At 34.0% G+C, this 21,573-nt stretch overlaps 1 protein-coding gene across 22 annotated transcripts in view; it reads right to left on the reverse strand.

The window, feature by feature from the left end:
- Positions 1 to 21,573, reverse strand: part of DGKB (diacylglycerol kinase beta) — an 829,810-nt gene that overhangs the window by 197,910 nt on the left and 610,327 nt on the right. For all 22 annotated transcript variants that reach the window (NM_001350722.2, NM_001350711.2, NM_001350717.2 and 19 more), the window contains one exon: positions 2,343 to 2,433. In NM_001350722.2, coding sequence (NP_001337651.1) covers positions 2,343 to 2,433 — 91 coding nt within the window. The remainder of the gene's footprint in view (positions 1 to 2,342; positions 2,434 to 21,573) is intronic.

Consider the following 21,573-nt stretch of genomic DNA (forward strand, 5'->3'; position numbering starts at 1 on the left):
GTTATATATTTTTCAAACCATAGTAGGTATAATTTTAGGACAAATAGGAAGCAACAACAAACAGAATCAAATTTTCGAATTTCTGTTTTTGTTATATTTAATTATAAAATAACCTTGAGGGTAGAAAGGCATATTCTGCTAATATGATAGACAGGATTCATTAAAAAGTGAGCAGAGAAGCAGATTTTGCCTAGCTATCCACACACACACACACACACACACACACACACACACACACACAACAAGATATGCAAAAATACAAGGGGGCATGCACACAGTGCTGGCTGTGATTTATAAATATTATTTTAATAGCTCCCAAAATAAGCCAGGGATGCAGAGCTAGAAGGTCAGGCTGAGAGAGTAAGCAGAAACAGCACTCCAAGAAACATAACTTAGTTCTAGTAGCCCAGATTTCTTGGAGAACATTCTAAATAGTTTTTCTGTCAGATCTCAAGCTCTGTGGATCAAAACCACTTAATTTTATCATTATTTAGCATATTACAAATCACCGTTTTCAAATATATTTTCATTCAAAATCTTTTGCTGTAAACACAACACTTTTCTTAAAGATTTTTTTTTTGTACTTTGTGACACATAGAATCTTATTTTATAGATCAACAGCTTTTAAATCTGTGCTCAAGGGTAGGATAAAGTAAAGGGAGGTGCAGGAGGATTCAGGATCTCCACCTACATTCAACCAAAGCCATACTTCTAATTTTTCTAAAACTTTTCAGCTTCTGCTGCAAATTGTATTTGAGCATAATTTTTGAGGATAAGAAATATTCAAAATCTAGTATATAAAGCAGTTTTTTTAAAAAAATAATGATTCTAAGAGTAAAGGGGTATGTATATGTTTTATTGAATATATATGCACATAAATATGTATATGTATATAACAATACATATGACACATATATAACCATATATACTATATATTTAACTATATATGTAGTTATATATGTCATATATTATTATATATAATATATATAACTAAATATATAACTAAATGTAGTTACAGATGTCATATATTATTATATACAATAATATATAACTAAATATATAACTGTAGTACATATACAATTATTATATAGATATACATGCATATAGTTATATATGTGTTATATATATCATTTTATATACAGTTATTTGTGTGCATATATCATACATATACACAGATATATCATCCTAAATAGTAATAACAGAAAGTCCACGTTGAACCCAAATCCTTCACCTCTGTAATTATGTTCCTTTCAAAGGTTATGATCTGATCCTGTTATGAAGGGTTTTTTCCCATTCCATGACCATCAATTCTAATACTTAATTATATTTACCAATCATGATGAGATAAAAGTGCTAAAAGGTTACACTGAGAGTAGTATCATTTTTTGGTATTATTAATAACAGCAAATTAGAAATTTAGGATAATGAAGAACTTAGCCAGGCCATTGTGTGGTCCATAACTACTTCTGTTTACCAAACTTATTACCTGAATATAAGGAACTAATGATTTAGGTATCAGTAGCAAATTTTTGCATTTATTTTTAAAATGAAAAGTGTTGAAGCCAATGTTTCTTAATTCATATCAACTAGTCATTAAGTGTTCATGTTTCATAATTCTGTTCCTCTGGTTTTGTCTTTATCATTTGTCAAAATATAACTTTTCTTTTTTCTTTAACCCCTAAAAATCTCTCAATATAACGAAGTCATTTTCTTTTATAATATTTCTCCAAAATTTTGAGTCCTACAGTGTCTTTTTTTTTTACAGACCTATTTGCTCCAAGTCTTTTTAAAATGTGTCTTTTCTTGCTATCTTTGCTCTCTTTCTTGGCATTTCCACTTTCTATAAATGTAATGGGGAAATGGCAACCTTGGGAACTGAGAAAACCTAGTTAATGAATGGGAATGGAATGGAAAAGTATACTTTTTAACCTTTATTCATAAAAGTAAGTACAATTTTAGCAAAGTGTGTTTTAAAGGTTACAAGATATTGAGACCCGAAAATAATATTTTTTATGTATTCTGCAACTTTTTTCTTCCCAACTACTTTTATCTTACCTTTCTATCTGCACTATGCCCAGTAACAACTGCATCAATTTCCAAAGTTGTGTTCCACTTCTCATTCTTTTATACTATAATAAAATAACCCATATCTACACTTAACTTTAGTATGTCAGATAGTGCTGTATTCCAAATGAGTGAAAGGAATGACAATTTAAAATCTTGAGTAAGTCTCTGTGGATTGCTAATATATATTTCATTCCATGGGCTCCAATGCAAATATACTAACAACAAAGCTCAAGCCATTTCATCATATTACAAAAGAGAATTCATTTTTTTCTTACTTCTATTTCTACAGATTCATGTAGCTTCTTGCAGGTGGCTGAGAAAGTTTCAGATGTGCCAAACTCAAAATACCAAAATTTGTTCTTCATTCTGAAAAAGAAAAGGAAGAAGCACCTTAGGCAATTATCAATAACAGAGGGATCTTTTAAAAAATGGTCTAACTCTGTCTTGTGTTATAATAGAAAAGGTCTGAGGACATGTGACATCTAAAATGTAATAGATGGTCATATAATTTTCAAAGCTTAAATGTGGGTGCCAAACTGTATGATGGCCTTGAGGGAATTATAAGAATGTGTTGATCTAGCAGACTCAAGTACACCTTTAGTTTTTTGTGGGTTCATCACATTTTAAAAAACGGTTTTAATGCTCATGATTCTTAGCTTGTTCTTAGGCAAAAAGTGAAGAATGTACAATAGTGGGAAATTATGATACAGCATAAAGTTTTTTAGTTCTTTCAAGAATTAACTAATAATATAGAATAAAATAACTAAGAAAGTAATAACAATATTATATCAATAAAAGTTGCAAAGAAATATAATTAAAATAATTTCAGTATTTAATCTTAAAGTAAAAGACTCAAAATTTATTTTCTTCTATGACTTGATATTTTTGGCTTTTTGTACCAGGTAATTAAATTTATTATCACTTAATGTAACTTTACAAAGGTCAAATAGATTTTTATATTATCTAGTATTGGATTTGAAATTTTATTCTTGTGAAAAAAATGCAGTATTTGATTATGCATAATTCTAATAGTGATCATGCCCTCAATTAGAAGACAATACATGTAAGTGACAGACATTTTCACACATAGAAATGAAACAAAGAAGTTTTTGTTATGGTATTCGAGTATGTCTCTCATATCAAATTAAAGTATTCTGTTTGACTTATAAATATTGATATCTGCTTCTTACATTAGAATGTAAAACATTTTGACAATTAAAAAGACATTTGGCAAAGGCCTTACTACTTAATTCAAGCCTATTATTGGTTTGGAAAATGACATTAAACCTAATAGAGTGCTTATTATTATGCTATGTTAAATCCAATAGAGTGCTTATTATTATGCAGAGTTCTCTGATATAAAATTATAAAATACAAAGCAATGTTATATTATCTATCTAAACATAGTCAATAATGTTTAGGCTCTCACAAGGTTTTATTTGCTTAAAAAATTCACAATCCCTTCATGAATCAGTCATATTCAGGCCAGTAATCTGAAGGTCAGTATAAGTTTCATAGGATTCTAGCACCATGAATCTTTATTCTTTTCCAGAGAATATTTGACTTAGTTTATGGCCTGATTTCATATATGTGAGCAGATATAAACAGATGATAGTGAAGTAGGTTAGAGGTAAACATTTAATGACAAGATTTGTGGGCCTGTATCTACAGATGTGTCTATATTAAATTAATGTAAATGTCTATTTTATAGAATGGTTAGGCTTTTATAAATTTACACACTGAAGTCATGTAAAATTAAAATATTTTGCTATTGAGATTTATCATTCTGATGAAAAACATATCATTCTACAGATGGAGAGAAAAATATTGGTTTATACAAAGAGGTCTGAAGACATTCTTAATGAATATTTTATGACTATTGGAATAGTCTTTCTATATTCAGCAACTTTCTAATAACATTTTTGTGTTATTCTTTTCTCCAGACCTTCCAGGATTGATTCATTCATTCAACAAAAGTTTAATGAGAACACTCTCTCTGTTAAGTACTATAGACACAAATATAAATGCAATTACCTTTGTCCCCAAGAAGCTCAGAATGTTATAAACTTATGGGCATATCAGTTTGTTAAGGGAGGCAGGAAGGTAATGGAGGGAGTATGCCTGGACATGTGAGGCCCACTGGGATCTTGGTTATTATGGCCCTTATCTGCCAGGACTGAGTCTCTTCCCTACACTGTCTCAAAACCACAATTAGATATCACCTCCTTTTTGTTAGGATGGCTATTTTCAAAATACCTCAGATAACAAGCACTGGCAAGGGTGTGGACAAAAGGGAACATTTGTATACTGTTAGTGAGAAAATAAATTTGTACAGCCGTTATGGAAAACAGTACTAAGTTTCCTCAAAAAATTAAAAAATAGAACAACCATGTGATCCAGCAATCTCTCTTCTGTATATATACCCCAAAGAAATGAAATCAATACCTCAAAGAGGTATTGTTGGACCTTATGCTAAGTGAAGGAAGCCAGAACAGAAAGACAAATCTTGCATGATCTCACTTATATGCAGAATCAAAAAAAGTCAAATACATAGAAGCAAAGAGTACAACTGTGGTTATCAGGGGTCAAGAATTGGGGGAAATAAGGAAATGTTGGTCAAAGGATGCAAACTTACAGTTATAAGATAAGTAAGTTTTGGAGACCTAATGTACAGTATGGTGGCTATAGTTAATAATAATGTATGGTAGCAAGGGGGAAAATAATGTATTATATATTTGAAATTAACTAGAGTAGTAGATTGTAAGTTTCTATGTGAAGTCATGGATATGTAATTAGCTTCATTGTGATAATTATTTCACAATATATGAAAACATAATGTTGCACATCTTGAATATATGTATAATTTTTAAAAATTTGTAAATTATACCTTAATAAAGCTGGGGAATAATAAATAGACATTATTTTGCGATAAATTTAGATTCACATGCAGTTGTAAAAAGTAACACAGAGGAGTCCAATGTGCCCATTACAGTTTCCCCCAATGAAAATATCTTGCAAACTGTAGTACAACAGGACAACCACAATGCTGACATTGATACAGTTAAGATGCAGAACAGTCCCGTCACCACAAGGTTCCCTCATGTTGCTCTTTTATAACCACCCCCACTTCTACCTGCCCCCACTCCCTCCTTTCCTTCGACAACCACTAATCTGTTCTCTAGTTCTATAATTTTGTTATTTCAAGAATGGATACAAATGGACTCATATAATAAGCAAATTTTGGCATTTGAATTTCTCACTTAGATTCATCCAGGTTGTTTCACATATCAACAGTTTCTTCCTTTTATCACTGAGTAGTAGTACATGGTATGAATGCATCATAGCAAAGGACTAGTATTTAGAATATATAAAGAACTCTGATGATTCGGCAGTAAAAGCAACCCAAACAATTTAATTAGAAAGCAAGAAAAGACATAAACAGACATTTCACCAAAATAGATATACAGATGGAAAAAAAAATGTAAAGATGCTCAACGACATTAGCGTTTAGAGAAATACAAGTTAAAACCACAATGAGATATCACCCCACACTTAACAGAATGACTAAAATTAAAAAAAGTAAAAAAAATCTTGAATATATATAATTTTCATGTGATTTGTACCTCAATGAAGCTGAACATAAAAACACTGGTCTATTATGAAAAATAATAAATTGAGTTTCTAAATGAAATATGAGCCAAGTATTGTAGGAACATACTTCAATGATTCAGCTAATTTTATCTCAAGAGTCCTGCAAGCTTTAGAATAAAAGGTAGCATGTGAATGGATAAGTAGTAGAAGGCAAGCAGAGAAGGAAGAAGAGACAAGTTCTGTGCACCTTTGGGAGTGCTGTATGATTTTAGAGTAGGCTAAATACCGACTAACAAGTGTGGTAGGGTCTGTTTCAGAACATGTAAACAAAGTTAATGGTTTTAGACTTGATCTTATGATTAAGAAGAAGCTGACAGAAGTTTATTAGCAGAGGGGTGACATCGTGAACTTTGTTTTATGGGCAAACAAATCTGGCAGAAACATAAAAATGGGCTGGAGTGTTGAAATGCTGGTGTCATTAAGAGAACTGTAGTTATTGCAATAATTCATATAAAATATAATTGAAGGCCTAACCAAATGGCAACAGAAATGGAAAAGAGGGGCTCAATTCAAGAGCTATAAATGAGGTAGAATCAATAGGAACTGGTGATATTTGATTTTACTGATTTATGCCATACCTAGATTATCTCTGAATGCATAGACGAGAATACCAGAGTCTAAATCCAGCCTAAAAAGAGATATGGGTTTATATTTTGGCAGGTTCTGTGATCTAATGTACACTGTATCATAGTTTGAAAATTTAAAAAATATATATACGAGGTTTTGGCTTGTATAGAAATGATTATTCCCTGTATTTCCATTATGTCCATCAAAGTTCCTCACAGCGTAATTAGCATTATGTGTGTTTCTATCAGTTATCCAAGATATGCTCACTTTAGCAAACATATCACAAGAAACAGAAATTCTGAGAATTTACATTCAGCCCTTATTCACCATATTAGTTAGCATTACTGCTCATGTGCAAAAGCTACTTTAAATTCTCCATTATTACAACCATTTTATGTTTCACTTAGATAAATATATGGAGGTAATAAAATGCACATGGTATCAGATTCCACATGACAAATTGAAGGCTGTTAAATTTTATTTTTTTCAACCAAACTGGTTTTAGGTTGTAGAAATGCAAAAAAGCACATTTAAGCATTTATGCTATCTACTTTTATGATTCACATTAGAAAATGATCCAAATAATTCAAACTCAAATTTGTCAGTGAAAACATAGCTTTGGACTTTAAGAATATGGTAACTCGACATTTAACCTATTGTGAAATGGTCACAGCAAAGTCAAATTTATCGTATTCCTGGACAGATTTTGTGACTCCAAGGAAAGTAACAAAGGTTCTGTAAACCTCACAAAAGTTATTCATGTAATTATTATTTGAATTAACGTAGTAAACCCTATGCCAATGAATGTAATTGTAAATCTACAAGTTTCTATTTAATGCTCAAAGTGCTTGGCTACCAGATAGCCAGGTAAAGACGAAGAAATTGGCTCCCATTTACCTGGAATTTTCATACGAACTGTAATTTTGCTTCTTTTACGTATCCTGAGTAATGTGAACTATCAGAGACTTTGTTCAAGCAAAATCCTTCTTGTTGCTATGAAATTTAGTTAATATTCAGTTCTTCAAGTTTTTAACTTTCAAATGGGTAATTTAATTTCCAGCAATATATTTTCCTTGGAATTTTTCTTCCTGCCTTACATGTCTTTTATTTTGGCTTTCATCGGCTTAGTAACATTAACGAAGTAAACATAAAACAAAACAAACAAACGAAACAGTAAAGTACCAGTGCATTTTCCGAAAAGAATAAAAAGTAACCTAATTAGACATGAAACTCATTTCTAACAAAGATGCAACATACAGAGGGCGATGAAATTATCTCATTTGTCTTACTGTGGAAGACTCAAAAGTCATAAGCAACAAAAAAGTTTTGACTTAGTGAAACTACTCTGAGAGGTCATATTTTTATTTTACAGGTGCATTTGTTTTATTATTTTTCATGTATTTAGTGGGGATTTAGGTGGCACAGGAAGATAATTTATTATGTAGAAAACAGAAAGACTTCTACTAGATACTGAACCCATTTTCAAGCATCGTTAACTAAGCGATTTGACCTATATTGTATGGATAACATGCTCAACAGAGGAGAAAATAAATCTCTTTTGATCTTTGCTTTTCAAATAAAAACAAAATCATAATATTTTAAGTAGCTTAGTTAAAATGAAATTAAATATTTAATTACTAAGGATGTTTCAGAAATCCTATCTTTTTTATTAGTTGTTTTCACTTTTGTCCTGTTATTAAAATATTTTATGTGTCATTTCAAATCTGGTTTTAAAATAATTTTCTCATGGAGAACATAGTTTTTAACTATGTTATTCAGTAACTTTATTTTAATACTAAAACAGTCTCATAATTCTATGGCATAGCCGGAATTTGGACTTGCTTAACTATGCTGGTTAATGGGAAAGGTTGACTTATAGTAATACTGCAGAGTAAGTGTTTAAAGTGGGTACATTTATGTCATAGAATCAATTCAGTTTTATTCACTTTTTCATTGCCAAGAAACATTACACTAAACATGGGTTATAGGGTTACTCATTTATTCCTAAACGTAGTGAGGTATTACTTTAAAAAATACACCACAAGTCAAATGGAAGGGCCCTGGTGGGACCTGATTCACCAGTGAATGAGGAGCGTCTGAAAGCTGCAGTTCAGGGAGAGAAAAGCACTCCCAGAGTAGCTGCAGCAGACAGAATGTTGGCAGGGCACAGGGAGCCTGGTCGGCAAACGAGCCCTAGGTCAGTGCAGAGGGAAAGGGAGGATACATTTGTAGTTTGTTTTTCATCACTTCTTGAAGTCCCCTGGGAAATTAAATGTCATCTGTATGAACTATGGCCACAGGTATTTGTTAGGAACTAAGTCCTGGCCCAGTTGAATAAAATCAGCAATTTATTTTTTTTTGATTGGCAACTATAAATTCACCAATAAAGAGTTATGAAAAAGGTTGCTCAAAGTATGTAATAGTGGCATGAATGGGAACTTTTACTCAAATTTGTAAAAATTATGGTATCAAATTTAAGTGTATAAAAAGTTAGGTATTTGCTTGTAGAAACTTGAAACTACAATTTTGTGGCAATTACTATTCAGATGAACACATTAGTGGTGGAAGTGACCCGAAATTCTACACATGTTATAGAAAGAACTCCATTTTATTTAAACCGCTAAACTCAGGCTTTTTTGTTCACAGAAATGTGTACTTTTTTTTGGAGTAAGAGAATAATGTTGACAACATTATTTTATAAGGAAGAAACACAGCTATAATCACTGCAGTGGAGACATTTAATATTCACACCGAAGAAGGCAAACATTTTTCATATTTCTAGACAACAGGTAGAGATATAAATTTATTCAAATGACAGATAAAAATGCTTGTATCTAATGCTCATTCATAAGACGTGCTTGTTAAGTCCCAGGGAGACAATGAAATAAGCTACAGAAACTTCAGACAGAATCATATGCTACTCCATCTTAGTTTATAAAAGAAAAGATGGATATTCTAAAACCGTAATTTTTAACCTGAATTACTTTTACAGGACTAAAGAAACTTTTTTTATATGTAAGTGTAAGAAAAGGATGCACCCAAAGATCAAATATTTTAGTTTTTAATCATTTCAACAATTCCCTATGGAAAAAAAAAGTGGTTATTTAAGTATTTTGATGTATAAGAATTTTCTATCATAATACTAATTATTTCTTACCTAAATGTTCTCTAGTTCTCTATTTGTATTGTACATTAGAACTAATTACAGAGCAAAAATGGAAAAAGTATATAAGCAGTAGTGATCCCACATTGCAGAGTCATACAAAAACGTACACAAAGTAAGTCCCTAAGAGCAGTGATAAATTCATAATTATTTGAAACGTAAAATGAAACATGTAAAATGTTTAAACAATAACCAATCATGTTAAGAATTGAATACATTTCAATAATAATTAAATCTTTACTATTATTGGCTCACAACCTGTAATCCCAGCACTTTGGGAGGCAGAGGTAGGCGGATCACGAGGTCAGGAGTTTGAGAGCAGCCTGACCAACATGGTGAAACCCTGTCTCTACTAAAAATACAAAAATTAGCCCAGCGTGGTGGCGCGTGCCTATAATCCCAGCTACTCGGGAGGCTGAGGCAGGAGAATCGTCTGAACCCGGGAGGCGGAGGCTGCAGTGAGCTGAGATCGTGCCATTGCACTTCAGCCTGGGCAACAAGAGCGAAACTCTGTCTCAAAAACAAACAAAAAAAACCAAACAAATAAAAAAAATAAATGTTTCATAATAATAAAAGTGTCCCTAAGAAATTTATTAGAAAGATTTAATGAAATGTATGATAGTAATAATTGCTGTTGTTACGGATCATAGCACTGTCTCAAATGAGCTTAGAAGTGATGCTTCCAACATTTCATGGGAAGTAGCAAAATCTAACTCAAGAAACCCTAGCTTTTTTCCCAAATGTCTCTCATTATATACAATAATGAATGCAGCATCACTTGAACCTTTTTTTCCTGAGCCATAAGGAAAATGTTATAGGCCAGAAAGGTCATCATTAGATGACACCTTTGTTCATATTTCTGTTTAAGTGCTTTTATTTCCCTCTTCTGAAATAAGCCAACTAAAGAAGACAATGTAACCTAGAGCTGACTAATGGAACCTGAGGGAAGTATACCGTGGGCATCTAGGAAAGATTTTTTTCTCTGATCAAGACACATACAAAGTAAAAGCTTTGCCCCTCTTTTCCTATTTTTGCATGTTCTCAAGGAAAAATAACTGGAGATGAAGCAGCCTTCTTGCCCCTATGAAGGAAAAGACAAGGGAAACCCAGAGATGACCCAGATTCTGGACAGAGCTGAACTGGCTCATCAGCAACCTTGAAATAGTCTCTGAATTTTTACTCGTGAGAGATACATAAATAGAATCATTATTTATTTTGCATATTCTGTCACTTGCAGCCAAAGCACACTCAAAACATAACTCACTATGTTTTATAAAAGAATTTTCACATATATTATTGAGATATTAGAAAACCTAAATGAATATTTTTCATACAATACTATTTTTCTAAATGTGAAACTTGGTAGTGGCTGAAATAAAGGAGGTAAAGTAGAGAATTTCTGTTCACCATAATTGCTTGTTTTTATCTTGTGCCAAGATATGCAGATATCACTGAATATGCTTTCCTCATCTGACTTGCTGTCCCCCTAAATTTTCTAAGAGTCATTTTCACACTTACATGCATGAAATAATTTTTTTAAAAAACATGAAACACTGCTTTTTTGGAGTGCTCCCAATTTGCATCAGATATTTTATCACTGTCAATGAAGTCTGTATAGACCAGTGAGTGGTAAGTTGACACTTTTCTTCTTCCCCCATCCCACATCCAATAACTTAAAAATACAGTCACCTTGTGGTGTTTGAATTAATAAAATATACCCTGATGTCTGAGATTATCTGCAAAAATATTTAAGATATGGTATTTCTCTATAATATAAATAGGAACATGTACAGCCTAGTGAAAATTGATAGCAAAATGTAATAAGGTATGTGTTCTTGTATACACAAAAAGCTGTAGTTTATTTAATTGAATTATATTCATAAATAAAAAGTGTCCAACAAACAAAAATTGTTTTCAATAAGTTTTAAAAAATAAGAGGGCACTACAAATGCAGATATTAGCATGTTTCCACTCCTGACTTTGGGTATCAGGGGAGGTTAGCATAACCCTCTTTCTGGTAGAATAGAAATTCATTTATTCAACAATCTGAGCATTTACTATAGGTCCAGTACTGTTATAAGAATTGGAATTATGTTTATACAAGAAAAGAAGAGATCTCTACATAACACTTACTTTGTATTAGAAAAAATACATTAAATTATTTAATATAAATTGAGATCAAGTGCTATAAAGAAGATACACAAGATGGTATGTGTGTATACAATAAAAGCAAATTGAGAGCCTTCTTTAAAAAGAAATTGACCAGGCCTTCCAAAGGTTCTTTTGCTGAAATTCCATAGTTACCAAGCAATCTGGAAGTTAATTTGGCTTTCTATGGATTTTGATATAATTAATAGGATGTCTTAAATTATGGAATTGTGTATCTGAATCCCTGGAAAGGAATTATCATCACCTCCCCTATATATTAAGTGGTATATAAATTTTATAGTAGATAAAGTTGAGCAAGTGAATAAGAGCCTGACCATTTCTGGGTGTCATGATTCAATTATGTTTCCCCATTTGCCAAGATGAGAGTGAGACTCTGGACTATGGATGATCACATAATCAAGGTAGTGCCCACTGGAAAACCCGAATAACCTTCCTAGGCAGCAGAAACAACTAGCTGGATTATACTAGTTGACTATGTTGAGCTAGACAGCAAATAGCAGAAGAATTGCTTGTTCCCCCATCCTCTTTCTGCCATTCACCAGTTGACTTTCTTGGCTCTCTCCCTCTCTCCCCCTCCCTCCCTCTCTCTCTTTCTCCACCAACCCCCCATCCTATTTAGTGGTCTTTATTGAATCCATTAAGTCAATCAATTGTTTAAGCACAGGTGTGAGAATATAAGAATATAAAGTTCATTTCTTTCTCTTGCCTGATTGCCCTGGCCAGAACTTCCAACACTATGTTGAATAGGAGTGGTGAGAGAAGGCATCCCTGTCTTGTGCTGGTTTTCAAAGGGAATGCTTCCAGTTTTTGCTCATTCAGTATGATATTGGCTGTGGATGTGTCATAAATTGCTCCTACTATTTTGAGATATGTTCCATCAATACCTAGTTTATTGAGAGTTTTTAGCATGAAGGGCTGTTGAATTTTGTTAAAGGCCTTTTCTGCATCTACTGAGATAATCATGTGGTTTTTGTCGTTGGTTCTGTTTATGTGATGGATTAATTTATTGATTTGTGTATGTTGAACCAGCCTTGCATCCCAGGGATGAAGCCAACTTGATCATGGTGGATAAGCTTTTTGATGTGCTGCTGGATTTGGTTTGCCAGTATTTTATTGAGGACTTTTGCATCGATCTTCATCAGGGATATTGGTCTAAAATTCTTTTTTTTTGTTGTGTCTCTGCCAGGCTTCGGTATCAGGATGATGCTGGCCTCATAAAATGAGTTAGGGAAGACTCCCTCTTTCTCTGTTGATTGGAATAGTTTCAGAAGGAATGGTACCAGCTCCTCCTCGTACCTCTGGTAGAATTCGGCTGTGAATCCAGCTGGTCCTGGACTTTTTTTGGTTGGTAGGCTATTAATTACTGCCTCAATTTCAGAACTTGCTATTTGTCTATTCACGGATTTGACTTATTCCTGGTTTAGTCTTGGGAGGGTGCATGTGTCCAGGAATTTATCCATTTCTTCTAGATTTTCTAGTTTATTTGCATAGAGGTATTTATAGTATTCTCTGATGGTAGTTTGTATTTCTGTGGGATCAGTGGTGATATCCTCTTTATCATTTTTTATTGCATCTATTTGATTCTTTCCTCTTTTCTTCTTTATTAGTCTTTCTAGCGGTCTATCAATTTTGTTGATCTTTTCAAAATCCAGTTCCTGGATTCATTTATTTTTTGAGGGGTTTTTTGACTCTCTATCTCCTTCAGTTCTGCCCTGATCTTAGTTGTTTCTTGCCTTCTGTTAGCTTTCCAATTTGTTTGCTCTTGCTTCTCTAGTTCTTTTTTTTTTTTTTTTTTTTTTTTTTTGAGACGGAGTCTCGCTCTATTGCCCAGGCTGGAGTGCAGTGGCACGATCTCGGCTCACTGCAAGCTCCGCCTTCCGGGTTTATGCCATTCTCTTGCCTCAGCCTCCCGAGTAGCTGGGACTACAGGTGCCTGCAACCACGCCCAGCTAATTTTTTGTATTTTTAGTAGAGATGGGTTTCATTGTGTTAGCCAGGATGGTCTCAATCTCCTGACCTCGTGATCAGCCCACCTCAGCCTCCCAAAGTGCTGGGATTACAGGCGTGAGCCACCACGCCCGGGCTTGCTTCTCTAGTTCTTTTAATTATGATGTTAGGGTGTGGATTTTAGATCTTTCCTGCTTTCTCTTGTGGGAATTTAGTGCTATAAATTTCCGTCTACACACTGCTTTAAATGTGTCCCAGAGATTCTGGTATGTTGTGTCTTTGTTCTCATTGGTTTCAAAGAACATCTTTATTTCTGCCTTCATTTTATTATTTACCCAGTAGCCATTCAGGAGCAGGTTGTTCAGTTTCCCTGTAGTTGTGCAGTTTTGAGTGAGTTTCTTAATCCTGAGTTCTAATTTCATTGCACTGTGGTCTGAAAGACAGTTTGTTATTTCTGTTCTTTTACATTTGCTGAGGAGTGCTTTACTTCCAACTATGTGGTCAATTTTGGAATAAGTGCAATATGGTGCTGAGAAGAATGTATATTCTGTTGATTTGGGGTGCAGAGTTCTGTGGATGTCTATTAGGTCTGCTTGGTGCAGAACTGAGTTCATGTCCTGGATATCCTTGTTAACCTTCTGTCTCACTGATCTGTCTAATATTGACAGTGGGGTGTTAATGTCTCCCATTATTATTGTGTGGGAGTCTAAGTCCCTTTGTGGGTCTCTAAGGACTTGCTTTATGAATCTGGGTGCTCCTGTATTGGGTGCATATATATTTAGGATAGTTAGCTCTTCTTGTTGAATTGATCCCTTTACCATTACGTAATGGCCTTCTTTGTCTCTTTTGATCTTTGTTGGTTTAAAGTCTGTTTTATCAGAGACTAGGATTGCAACCCCTGCTTTACTTTGCTTTCCATTTGCTTGGTAGATCTTCCTCCATCCCTTTATTTTGAGCCTATGTATATCTTTGCACGTGAGATGGGTCTCCTGAATACAGCATACCAATGGGTCTTGACTCTTTATCCGATTTTCCAGTCTGTGTCTTTTAATTGGGGCATTTAAACCATTTACATTTAAGGTTAATATTGTTATGTGTGAATTTGATCCTGTCATTATGATGTTAGCTGGTTATTTTGCCCGTTAGTTGATGCAGTTTCTTCATAGCATTGATGGTCTTTATAATTTGACATGTTTTTGCAGTGGCTGATACCGGTTGTTCCTTTCCGTGTTTAGTGCTTCCTTCAGGAACTCTTGTAAGGCAGGCTTGGTGGTGGCAAAATCTCTCAGCATTTGCTTGTGTGTAAAGGATTTTATTTCTCCTTCACTTATGAAGCTTAGTTTGGCTGGATATGAAATTCTGGGTTGAAAATTCTTTTCCTTAAGAATATTGAATATTGGCCCCTACTCTGGCTTGTAGAGTTTCTGCAGAGAGATCTGCTGTTAGTCTGATGGGCTTCCCTTTGTGGGTAACCCGACCTTTCTCTCTGGCTGCCCTTTACATTTTTTCCTTCATTTCAACCTTGGTGAATCTGACAATTATGTGTCTTGGGGTTGCTCTTCTCAAGGAGTATCTTTGTGGTGGTCTCTGTATTTCCTGAATTTGAATGTTGGCCTGCCTTGCTAGTTTGGGGAACTTCTCCTGGATAATATCCTGAAGAATGTTTTCCAACTTGGTTTCATTCTCCCCGTCACTTTCAGGTACACCAGTCAAATGTAGATTTGGTCTTTTCACATAGTCCCATATTTCTTGGAGGCTTTGTTCATTTCTTTTTACTCCTTTTTTGTCTAAACTTCCTGCTTTATTTCAGTAATTTGATCTTCAATCACCGATACCCTTTCTTCCACTTGATCGAATCGGCTATTGAAGCTTGTGCATGCCTCACGTAGTTCTCGTGCCATGGTTTTCAGCTCCATCAGGTCATTTAAAGTCTTCTCTGCATTGCTTATTCTAGTTAGCCATATTCAATAAGGAAAATAAGAAGTCAAATTTTCCCTGTTTGCGGATGACATGATTGTATATTTAGAAAACCCCATCGTCTCAGCCCAAAATCTTCTTAAGCTGATAAGCAACTTCAGCAAAGTCTCATGATACAAAATCAATGCACAAAAATCACAAGCATTCCTATACACCAATAACAGACAAACAGAGCCAAATCATGAGTGAACTCCCATTAACAATTGCTACAAAGAGAATAAAATGCCTAGGAATCCAACTTACAAGGGATGGGAAGGACCTCTTCAAGGAGAACTACAAACCGCTGTTCAATGAAATAAAAGAGGTCACAAACAAATGGAAGAACATTCCATGCTCATGGATAAGAAGAATCGTGAAAATGACCACACTGCCCAAGGTAATTTATAGATTCAATGCCATCCCCATCAAGCTACCAATGACTTTCTTCACAGAATTGGAAAAAAACTACCTTAAAGTTCATATGGGACCAAAAAAGAGCCTGCCTTGCAAAGACAATCCATCCTAAGCAAAAAGAACAAAGCTGGAAGCATCAGGCTACCTGACTTCAAACTATACTACAAGGCCACAGTAACCAAAACAGCATGGTACTGGTACCAAAACAGATATATATATATATATGTATATAGAACAACGGAACAGAACAGAGGCCTGAGAAATAATGCCACACATCTACAACCAACTGATCTTTGACAAACCTGACAAAAACAAGCAATGGTGAAAGGATTCCTTATTTAATAAACGGCGCTGGGAAAACTGGCTAGCCATATGGAGAAAGCGGAAACTGGATCCCTTCCTTACACCTTATACAAAAATTAATTCAAGATGGATTAAAGACTTAAATGTTAGACCTGAAACCATAAAAACCCTAGAAGAAAACCTAGGCAATACCATTCTGGACATAGGCATGGGCAAGGACTTCATGACTAAACCACCAAAGCAATGGCAACAAAAGCCAAAATTGAAAGTGGGATCTAATTAAACTAAAGAGCTTCTGCACAGCAAAAGAAACTACCATCAGAGTGAACAGGCAACCTACAGAATGGGAGAAAAGTTTTGCAATCTACCCATCTGACAAAGGGCTAATATTCAGAATCTACAAAGAACTTAAAGAAATTTTCAAGATAAAAAGCAAACAACCCCATCAAAAAGTGGGCAAAGGATATGAACAGACACTTCTAAAAAGAAGACATTTATACAGCCAACAGACACATGAAAAAATGCTCATCACTGGTCATCAGAGAAATGCAAATCAAAACCACAATGAGATACCATCTCACACTGTTAGAATAGTGATCATTAAAAAGTCAGGAAACAACAGATGCTGGAGAGGACGTGGAGAAACAGGAATGCTTTTACACTGGTGGTGGGAGTGTAAATTAGTTCAACTCTTGTGGAAGACAGTGTGGCAATTCCTCAAGGATCTAGCACTAGAAATACCGTTTGATGCAGCGATCCCATTACTAGATATATACCCAAAGGATTATAAATCATGCTACGATAAAGACACATGCACAGGTATGTTTATTGCGGCACTATTCACAATACAAAGACTTGGAACCAACCCAAATGTCCTTCAGTGATAGACTGGATTAAGAAAATGTGGCACATATACACCATGGAATACTATACAGCCATAAAAAAGGATGAGTTCATGTCCTTTGCAGGGTCATGGATGAAGCTGGAAACCATCATTCTCAGTAAACTATCACAAGGACAGAAAACCAAACACCACATGTTCTCACTCACAGGTGGGAATTGAACAATGAGAACACTTGGACACAGGGAGAGGAATATCACACACTGGGGCCTGTCGTGGGGTTGGGGGCTGGGGGAGAGATAGCTTTAGGAGAAATACCGAATGTAAGTGACGAGTTAATGGGTGCAGCAAGCTAACATGGCACATGTATACCTATGTAATACGTTGTGCACATGTACCCTAGAACTTAAAGTATATATATATATATATAAAGAATATAAAGCTCATTAGTTTTAATAGAGTTCAACATATATTTAAGGAGCACCTACTAAGTTTCAGGGAAGTTAATTTAATGTAGGTGTTGCAGTAGACTTCAAAGACAGCTCAGATTTCCCATCCTGAATGATGGGCAACTTTTTACAACTAGAATAGACATTAATTGGTAACTTTGGGCATCTAACAAATATCTGAAGTGGACTCAGATTATTAAACTAGATAACCCTGTTTAATAATATTTGCTTGGCATATTCAAATATGAATGACACCCCAAATCACTAGGCAAAGCAATCTCAAAATGCAACATAGGGAGTTCAACATGTGAGAAAAAAGGAGTATACATATATTTTGGAAAAACACATTTGCTTTCATCACTGAAAGGCCAGTTAATACTTTTCAATTATCTTCAGTGGTATAGAAGAATTTTAAATCAGTAATTATGTAACATTAGAACATATTACATATGTTTTTCCTAACCAATTTTTAGATGCTATATTTTGTAAAACTTGCAAAAATCGAGAAAAAAATTACACCTCTCTAGTTCCTTCACACATTATTTCCCTTACCTATATTCTGTGAAGACTACCACAGCTTCACAACTTAAAAAAAATACTTCTAATAAAACTTGTTTCTATTCTCTGAAAATTAGTTAAGTGTTTTTTACCTTTTGTTTTTCTTCACACATCAGCAGTCTTTTTCCAATTCTGTAACAAGAAGCATAACTTTGCATTTTGAAAATGCCAATCACCTTAAAACTTCTCTCATGCTAGAAACAGAAAAAACAGAACAGTTCTCCTTTTTCTAATGCTATGGAAGAGTGGTTTTACATACACATTAATTATCTTGTATAAAAATGATAAGAAATAAGAATCGGGCTACTTGAATTATATTGAAAATATTGATATTTTTAATCAAATTGAATAATTCTATAGTTTAACACATAAATCAGTAAATCAATTATTATTTAGATTGCATTTTTGTCATGGATTTACATCTTGAGGGACTCAGATGACTCCCTGAAATATCATGATCTGTTTTTGTTGCCAGTCATGATGCTATAATTTATATAAAATATTCAAGCTGACTTGTACATAAACTAATTGACAGATGTAGGAATTGTCATTTGGGGATTAATCATTTTGCCAGTACATTCAAGTACATGTTAGATAATTCTAAGATGTACGTAAAGGAAACATCCCCTCTCTTTTTCTCTCCAATATTATCTACTATTTTTAAAATGTGCCTACCTTTATACCATTTTCTCCTATTTAAAATTATGTCCATATAAACAGATAATAAATGGAGACGAATTCCAATTGGGAATATTTTTACAAGATAAAACTTGTTTCAATTTGCATTACCATCAACAAATAGCCAAATCACCCTTTTTTCCTATATTAAAATACTAGCAACATGTAGCATTCATTTACCAGATTTAAATTTTAAAAAGACCTGTATTTTTACATGAGTCAGAACAAAGTGAGACTCTTGTCCAGAGAAATAGTACTGCAGTCTGAATCTAGATACAGTATTGAAATCAAATTCTGAATATTATTGGATATTTACGGTCACTCATTTAGGTTAGTGACTCATTTAGATACGCTTTCTATACTGAACAGATTACAGAGATTAGGGAAAATATATTACTGTCGTTTTGTACCAATCAATAAGAAAGCAAAATCTCCTGGAGGCTCCGTTTAGTGGGTGATCAAATGTTCATAAAATAAATCATAAAGACTGTTCTTACCTATAAGTTTTAGTGTCCTTACATTATGGCAGTTGATTATCAAGAATTCATTGAACAACATATGCGAGCAGGACCTCTATTTCTTATTTAGCCATTTCTCTAAAAATTTGGAATTTAATCATTTGAGACAGATGAGAACAAATGACAACTTCCCAATGAACATAAAAGGGAAGACCACAGAAAATAATGCCTATTATTTTTGCTCATTAATTCATTCATTCAACAAGTATTTAATGAATACCTGTTATGCATGAAGCACTATTCTAGTTGCCAGAAATTCATCAATAATTGAAATATATAAAGTTTCTGCCCTCATATTGCTTATAATTTTTATTTATCTAAATGTGAGATTAGATTGCTTATATAACTTAGAATTAATATACCACTCTCTCCACCTCTTCTCATTCTTAGAGTGTATATACAATAAAAACCCAAAAAAAATGCAACAAAACATGGAACAGTTAATCTAGTCAATTTCTGGACTAAGTTTTATAATTAAATGACAATTACATTGATATTATTATATTATTTTGTATTGTATTACATGCATATTAATGTATTACAATGTACTGTTTAATACAGTGGTAGACTGTTTAACGGGCACGAGTTCTTCCCATTCCTGTAAGCTTCCTTCTATGCAGTGAGACTGTGCTGCTGCTTCTCCCTTCTAGACATGAATCTCTTTCTAGGCCCTCTTGAATCAGGACCAACCTTGTGACTTATTTTGACTCATGGAACATTACAGAAGTGATGCATAAGCTCTGGATCCTAGGCTTCATGGGGTTCATAAATGCCACCTTCCCCCTCTTGGAGCATTGTCATGAGACCTCCATGTTAATAAGCCCAGGATGGAAAACCACTAGGAGAGGGAGACACAGTATCCTGGCTGGGCTTCGCCTCCAGCTCATCCACCAGATTACTGTTGCTAAAAAACTGCCAGACTAATTGACAGAAATATGAGAAACAGTAACTTATTGCTGATTAAAGCCACTAAGTGTTAGTCTGGTGTGCTAAGAACAAATAGATAAAAGACACATAAACGTATATACCAGACACTGTGCTAAATACCACCTATGCAAAATTCAGCAAAAGCTTTCATAATCTTTGCCTATAGTCTCTATCATATTGTATAGCAGAAAAGACACGAACTGTTCAAGTATTCACACAAATATTGTGAAATTGCTATGGTAGCAAATAAAAGAAAGAAAAGTAAAAATATTTTATGAGAGATTGTGATTCCTAGAGGGAAGCACATTTCTGGTACAGGTGACTTTAAGTGCAAAGTCCCTGTCGGAGAAAGCAGCAGATACCAGAAACCAATAGAAAGAAGGCATTTGAGCCTGCGATAGAGGGTTAGCTTATGAAGAGATAAGATTGTGCTAGTGGGTTACGGTTAGGTATTTAGCTGTGTAGCATATTTGATATATGGAGGATACAGTTAGTAGCAGCTCTTATATTAAAAAAAGAAAAAGAAAATTTGGGTTTCTTTGTGTATGTGCATTTTATCTTTTTGAGCAATTATTTGCTACAAGAGCATTCAGGAAATAGAAGCAAAACATGCTCCAAAATATCAGCAGAGGCAGTGCTTAAATTTCATTACTAAGGCTTCTTTCATATCTACACTCTTAGAGTGGAAACTAAGTAACCTAAATAAATCTAATAATGAAAATGAATTAGAGAGAAATGAGCTTTGGTAATTGTGACTGTCTTTCAATTGAACAATTAGACTTTAACATAGAAGAAAAGAAATATGATAGGTCAATTAAACACTGTATATAACCAGGCAAATCAACAAGTTTCTATAGTACAGGTCAGCTCGGTACTGTGTGGCCACCGACTTTATTGACTCAGTACAATACAAAGAATATGCAAAATTTTGAAAGTGACGAAATTTTTCTGACACTACTATTATTCTCATAAATGTGCCAAGTGAAAAAATAACAATTATTTCCAATAAAAAAAACAACTAATGCATAGTTCTGTTAAAAACAAGATTTGCTTTCCTCTAAGCTCCAAAAATACAGACATAGCAATGAACAACCCTGAAATTCCCTTCCTTTGCCTGCAAGACTCACAATAAAATTATTGCCCAGAAGTGCTGGCAAGTGACCAAAATGAGGAGGCATTTTTGGGGATTACTGGCTTAAACAATAACTCCTTCAAACAGGGAAAGCAAAGGAAAAAAAAAGAAAGAAGGAAGAAAGGAAGGAAGGAAGGAAGGAACGAAGGAAGGGAGGGAAAAGAAGAGAAAATCTGTATTCTTTTTGTTACATTCAATCGTCACAATAGAGTAATTTTCTCTCATCATCCATA

Source organism: Homo sapiens, chromosome 7 (assembly GCF_000001405.40).
Source record: "Homo sapiens chromosome 7, GRCh38.p14 Primary Assembly".
In the NCBI taxonomy this organism is placed as follows: Eukaryota; Metazoa; Chordata; class Mammalia; order Primates; family Hominidae; genus Homo; species Homo sapiens.